A 7,124-nucleotide genomic window follows, 5' to 3' on the forward strand; every position below is an offset into this window, starting at 1 on the left:
GCGTCCCACAATGCCTCACCTCCCCACCGGCGTCTCCCATAGCCATCACTACAGAGCTGTCTCCTGGTCCCCCCAGAGAAGGTGAGAAAAGAAGGCAGCCTCTGCCAGGGGATGGATTTGGCTGGCAGAGCCCTCAGGCCAGAGAGGGACCTGTTTCTGAGGACTTTGGTTTTCTGGACTCTCCAACTCCTCATCTCCAGATGCATGACACCAGGGTCTCACAAGGTGCTTTTGCAGATCCATCCTCATGTCCCTATAGCCTCTAGGGTGTTAAGAGGCTCTAGCCTGTACCAGGCCTACTCTGGGGAGGTCCCTAAACCTACCAGTGCTGGCAGAGTGGCTGTGGATGTGATGGGAGATGTTAAGAGAGACAGCAGGAAAGGTTCTGTCAGGGGAAGAGCAAAAGGAGCCAAGTCAAGAAGGAGCAGTCAAGAGTCACAGCATTCCCGGGGGTCACACTAATGTGGCCATGCAGCAACTTCAGGGAGAAACTTGGATTTGGAGGGGCAAGAGTTCCAAAGAGCGGATTTCACGTGGAGACAGCTTTCTGGGTCAAGGTGGTTGGCCCTGGGGAGCAGGTATGTGTGTACAAGAAAGACAGAGAGAGAGAGAGAGAGAGAGAGAGATAAGAAAGGAAGATTTAGGCAGAACTAGATTGTGAACTCCTTGAGGGCAAGAACTATGTCTTTGTGTCTTGGTCACTGTTGCTTTTATGAGAGCTTAACATTGTACCTTGCACGTAATAGGCACCGTCAAGTGAATGGATGAATACAGATGAAGCCGGCACTTGCTTTAAAACTGGGATCTGTGAGCTATTCTCTTCCACAGCTGCACTCAGGCTCCTCATTCTCTCAGGACTTGCTGGAAGGAGATGTCTAGACCATCCCTGGACGGTCAGCGGTGGGCACTTCACCAGCTGTTGACACGACAGACCCTGGCCGAACTCAGAGCGGTAGTGGGGATAGCGCCACCTTGTGGTGACTCTTGGGAGAGCTCCTGGAGAGACGCTAGCCAAGAAGGCAGGGTCATCTCTCAGGAGCAGGGTATCACCCCGGGCTGCAGCCATCCTTCTTCCTGTATGTCTGAACTGCATTGTTATGCCAGCGGTCCTGTGGCACAGTTTTATCATTTGTTCCTTCTTTATTCCAGCATTTTCTGAGAGCCTGCTCCACGCCAAACTTGTCGGGTATACAGAGCTAAATCAGCTAAATCACCTCCAGCAGCTCATGGTCCAGCAGGGGATTCCACAAGGTAACAAGACCAACGAGGTTACGATCAAGCCGCAGGAAAAAAAATTATCCAGGTGTTGAGGAGGCACTAGAACATTCCCAGCTCAAAAACTCCATCATTCACCTCTCCCTCAATTCCTCTCACCGAAGTGCAAATGGTTTATCTTCATTACCAAGAAACAGTCTGGGCATGGTGGCTCACAGCTGTAATCTCAGCACTTTGGGAGGCCGAGGCGGGCGGATCACTTGAGATCAGGAGTTCGAGACCAGCCTGGCCAACATGGTGAAACCCGTCTCTACTAAAAATACAAATAAAAAATTAGCCAAGAGTTATGGCGCCCACCTGTAATCCCAGCTACTCTGGAGGCTGAGGCAGGAGAATCGCTTGAACCCAGGAACTGGAGCAGAGATCACACCACTGCACTCTAGTCTGGGTGACAGAGTGAGACTCCATATCAAAAAAAAAAAAAAAAAAAAACCCAAAAAGCAAAAAAGACAAGAAATACTTCAAGTTCTGGCTCCCACACATCTTTCCAGGACTCACTCTTCTGCCCCACTGCATTCCCTAATGCCTCTGCTCCCTGTGAAAGCCACGTGTTTTCCTACCTCTCTGCATTTTCCCACCTCTCTGCATTTTCCCACATCCTAGAATGTCCCCCTTCCCTGTATCCCACTGTTGGAACCCATCTCAGATGTTCCTTCCTCCATGAAGACTCTTCTGATTTCCCTTGGTAGAGTGGTCTTGCCTGTTCTAGCTCCTGAAGCACCATGTAGGTAGGTGCTTTCATTAGCAGCACATACTGGGTGTCCCATTGGTGGTTGTCTGTGTATATTACTCATCCTCCTACTAGGCTAGCCCTTGCAGCACTGACCTGGGCATATCATATGCCTTTGTTAAATGGTGAATAGACGGATACATGAATAAATGGATGCACGGACAGAGGAATAAATCGATGGAAGTATAAATGGGGCCAGGCGCGGTGGCTCATGCCTGTAATCCCAGCACTTTGGGAGGCCAAGGCAGGCGGATCTCCTGAGGTCAGGAGTTTGAGACCAGCCTGGCCAACATGGTGAAACCCTGTCTCTACTAAAAATACAAAAATTAGCCAGGCATGTTGGTGGGCGCCTGTAATCCCAGCTACTCAAGAGGCTGAGGCATGAGAATCGCTAGAACCCTGGAGGCGGAGGCTGCAGTGAGCAGAGATCTCACTAATGCACTCCAGCCTGAGTGACAGAGTGAGACTCTGTCTTAAAGAAGAAAAAAAGTATAAATGGCCAGATAGATGACAAATAGGTTGGTGGATGGGTGGATAAGTGGATGTGGAATGTATAGATGGATGGGTGGGTGGATGGATGAATAGATGGATGAATGGAAAATCTATCCATAAAAGGACTCACAAAAGGCTATGTAGGCTGAGTGCAGTGGCTTATACCCGTAATCCCAACATTTGGGGAGGCCAGGATGGGAGAATCGTTTGAGCCCAGGAGTTTGAGATCAGCCTGGGCAACATAGGGAGACCCCGTCTCCACCAAAAAAAAAAAAAAAAAAAAATTAGCCCGGCATGGTGACACGTGCCTGTGGTTCCTACTATTCAGGAGGCTGAGGTGGAAGGATCACTTTTGCTGGGGAGGCTGAGGCTGCAGTAAGTTGTAATCGTGCCACTGCACTCCAGCCTGGGTGACATAGCAAGACCCTGTCTCAGAAAAAGAAAAAAGAAAAAAAATGGCCAGATGTGGTGGCCCATGCCTGTAATCCCAGCACTTTGGAAGGGTGAGGCAGGCAGATAGCTTGAGGTCAGGAGTTCGAGACCACCCTGGCCAACATGGTGAAACCCTGTCTCTACTAAAAATACAAAAATTAGCTGGGCGTGGTGGTGCGCGGCTGTAATCCCATCCACTTGGGAGGCTGAGGCAGAAGAATTGTTTGAACCCGGGAGGTGGAGGTTGCAGTGAGCTGAGATCGCACCACTGCACTCCAGCCTGGGTGGCAGGAAAGAAAAGAAAATTTTAAAAAAGCCCAGGTAGCACCAGAGGCTTCAAGGGAGGGAGCACACCCCATGCTAGGATATGCAGAGGCAGAGGCAGTATCCAGGCCAAACTTTCCTTCACTAACATCTGCACCCTCAGCAACTTGTCTCCCAGAGGCCTAGATACATTCCACTCCCCATAAGAAGTCATGGTCTGGGAGCTGCTCCTCTTTTCATCCTCCCTGGTCCCTCAGGAATGCTTTCATTAACATATATTATGCCATCTTCCTGCACTGCAATGACTGTGGGTTTCCTCTTCCACATCTCTTTCCCTATATCATACACACCCTAGCTTGAGAGCTCCCTGAAGGGAGGAAGCATGCCTGAGTCTCTTTTGTGTCCCTAGCACCTGGCATATATGTTTAATGAGTGAGTAAACAAATGAACAACTGAGTGAGTGCTGCCTCTTCCCCATAGACACATTTTATACACTTCCTGCGTCCTCTTGTTCAGTTATCTCTCCTGGCCCTCTCCTCCTTACACACATCACACTCACACTCCTGACCTTGACACTCTGAAATTCCAGAGTTATATGCTGGGGCTCGGTTTCCTTACCTATTTGTGGCTGATCTAGGGAAGTCCCAGCCCTCCCCTGAGAGTCTGAAAGAGACGGCTCTTGACTCCTCTAAAGCCATATTAACTGGGTCCCATGGAGGGCAGAAAGGGGCTTCCCTAGGAAGAAGCTCTCTATTGGGAGGGTAGCAGGATCCTGCACTAACCTGAGGTCTGCTGCCCCAAATTGACCACATCCTCCTGTGTCTGCTGTCCCTACTCCTGACCAGTGAGGCTGTCCCAAGGTAGGGGGTGGTTGTGGCCTCTGTCTCAAGGCTGGCTGGCAGACACAGCCAGATTTAGAAGTCATTTTCGCAGCAGGGAGCCTCCAGTGTGCCACCCACAGAGCCCTGGAAGGTCAGTCTGAGATATGGCTCACCAGGGGCTGGCCCCTAGACCTGGAGTCACTCCTCCCCTTCTTGTCTCTCTCCTTTTTTTGCCCAGAATTTTGGCAGCTGGTGCTGACTCTATCCTTAGGCAAAGATGGAGTAAGTTCTGGGGGAAGGGGTGTGCTGCACTGACACTCTAACCGCCCAAGCACTGCCAGGGCACCATTCACCCAGGCACTATTCACCCAGGCACCATTCACCCATTAAAAGGGCTGTCCATACCCACCCCAGGTTTCCCCCCTCCTCTCTACTGACATCTGCTGCCTGGTTCTCCTCCTCCCCTACTTTTTTTTTTTTTTTTTTTTTTTGAGACAGTGTCTTGCTCTGTGGCCCAGGCTGGAGTGCAGTGGTACGATCTTGCCTCACTGTAAACTCCGCCTCCCAGAGTCAAGTGATTCTCCTGCCTCAGCCTCCCGAATAGCTGGGATTACAGGCATGCATCACCACACCCAGCTAATTTTTTTTATTTTTAGCAGAGACGAGGTTTCACCATGTTGGTCAGGCTGGTCTCGAACTCCTGACCTCGTGATCCACCCACCTCAGCCTCCCAAAGTGTTGGGATTACAGGAGTGAGCCAGCGCACCCGGCCTTTTTTTTTTTTTTTTTTTTTTTTTTTAAGACGGAGTGTCGCTTTGTCGCCCAGGCTGGAGTGCAGTGGCCTGATCTCGGCTCACTGCAACCTCCTCCTCTCGGGTTCAAGTGATTCTCCTGCCTCAGCCTCCCGAGTAGCTGGGACTACAGGCATGTGCCACCACACCCGGCTAATTTTTGTATTTTTAGTAGAGATGGGGTTTCACCATATTGGCCAGGCTGATCTCGAACTCCTGACATCATAATCCACCGGCCTTGGCCTCCCAAAGTGCTGAGATTACAGGCATGAGCCACCACACCTGGCCGTCCTCCCCTACTTCTAATTCTCTCTGTCCCATCATCCTGTTCTCATACCCCAACACTAATAAAATAGCCCTAGGGAGAAATAATAATCAGAGCTAACACTTAATCACCTACTATGTACCAGGTGTTGTTTTTTCTTTTCTTTTCATTTTTTTTTCTTTTTAATTAAATAAATTTAAAAAAGAGAGAGAGAGAGACAGGGTCTTGCTATGTTGCCCAGGCTGGTCTCTAACTCCTGGGCTCAAGCAATCCTCCCACCTCAACCTCCCAAAATGCTGGTATTACATGGGTGAGCTACTGTGCCTGGCCAATTGTTCTAAGTGTTTTACATATTGAATTATTTACTCCTCCCAACAACTCTAAGAGAAAAGCACATTGTTTGTTTGTTTGTTTATTTATTTATTTATTTATTTATTTATTTATTGAGACAGGGTCTTGCTCTGTTGCCCAGGCTGGAGTACAGTGGTGCAATCATAGCTCACTGCATCCTCAAACTCCCGGGCTCAAGCAATTCTCCCACCTCAGCCTCCTGAACAGCTGAGAGTGTTCAGGAGTGGGACTACAGGAGAGTGCCACCACACTCAGCTAATGAAAAGCACTTTTAATAACCTCAGTTTATAACTGAGGACACCAAGGCACAGAGAGGTTGAGTAACTTGCCCATACATAGCTAGTATGGGGTAGAAGCCCCAGAAACCATATGCTAAACACATTAGTCAAGTTGTTCAATTATGTTAGCAGTGTGGGTGAGCTTTTAGAAATTGGCTTCCTGTGTATTCAACCTCAAAGGGGCTCAGGCAGCATGGTAAAGCCCACCCTCATAGGGCCAGCCCTTCCACTGTTGCATACAGCTCACCTCCTCTACCAGTCCCAGAGCTCTAGAGCCCTTTGGTTGTAGAAAAATCTAGGCAGATGCTTTCATCACTGCCCTGGTCTTTCTCAACTTTCTTTCTTTTTTTTTTTGTTTTTTTTTTTTTGTTTGTTTGTTTGTTTAAGACAGAGTCTCACTTTGTCACCCAGGCTAGAGTGCAGTGGTGCGATCTCGGCTTGCTGCAACCTCCGCTTCCCAGGTTCAAGTGATTCTTGTACCTCGACCTCCCCAATAGCTGGGATCACAGGCATGCACCACTACACCCAGCTAATTTTTGTATTTTTAGTAGAGGTGGGGTTGGACCATGTTGGCCAGGCTTGTCCCCGTCTCAGGTGATCTGTTCACCTCAGCCTCCCAAAGTGCTGGGATTACAGGTGTGACCCACCACACCCCGCCCTTCCTCAACTTTCCCCTTCACCTGAAGTCCAGCCTCTTCCCAAGCCTGAAGGTCCAAGGCACATACTCCTCAGCTGGACCAGGCTTACCCCAATCTGGCCTCAATTTTCACTCTTGCCTTATCTTCTACAACTGCCATAAATGTACGCTCAACTGCAGGCAAATCAGACCATTGAGCAATTTCCTAAACATACCCTGCTTACCTGCATCCATGCCTCTATTTTGGCTGATCCCTCTACTTGAAATGCCTCTTCACCAAATTCTACCGCTGAGGTCATCTCCTCCCCTCCATGGAGCCTTCCCTTATCTCACAAAATCCATACGATCTCCCTTGTTTGACTCCTTGTAATACTTAACACATTGCTCACCTTCACCCCATTGTCAGAAAGGCCTTACTCATCCCTATCCTGTATCCAGCACAGTTTCTTGCTCCCAGTAGGTGCTCAGTACATGCTCATAGTTAGAATTGGTAGTAGGTAGATGGAATTGTAGGTGAAAGGGAGACAGGTCTCAATAACCTTTATTTGTTTGTTTTTTTTTGAGATGTGGTCTGGCTCTGTTGCCCAGGCTGGAGTGCAGAGGCCCAGTCTTGGCTAACTGCAACCTCCTCCTCCCAGGTTCAAGCAATTCAGCGATTCTTGTGCCTCAGCCTCCTGAGTAGCTAGAATTATAGGTGCACACCACCACACCTGGCTAACTTTTGTATTTTTGGTAGAGACAGAGTTTCACCATGTTGGAGGCTGGTCTGGAATTCCTGACCTCAAGGG

General features: G+C 49.2%; 1 long non-coding RNA gene across 1 annotated transcript, besides 1 other annotated feature; it reads left to right on the forward strand.

The window, feature by feature from the left end:
- The first annotated feature begins 496 nt into the window (after positions 1 to 496).
- On the forward strand, positions 497 to 1,459 carry LOC105369756 (uncharacterized). The gene is made up of 3 exons (XR_944926.1): positions 497 to 578; positions 747 to 952; positions 1,150 to 1,459. It is a non-coding gene; the product is annotated as an uncharacterized LOC105369756 (long non-coding RNA).
- Positions 710 to 759: an enhancer, noted in NCBI's record as "active region_6300". NCBI's record gives its function as "activates an Ori minimal core promoter by ATAC-STARR-seq in GM12878 lymphoblastoid cells {active_cell/tissue: GM12878}" and the evidence as "EXISTENCE:reporter gene assay evidence [ECO:0000049][PMID:35858748]".
- Positions 1,460 to 7,124: the final 5,665 nt, after the last annotated feature.

The sequence above is a fragment of the Homo sapiens genome, chromosome 12, assembly GCF_000001405.40.
Source record: "Homo sapiens chromosome 12, GRCh38.p14 Primary Assembly".
NCBI classification, from domain to species: Eukaryota; Metazoa; Chordata; class Mammalia; order Primates; family Hominidae; genus Homo; species Homo sapiens.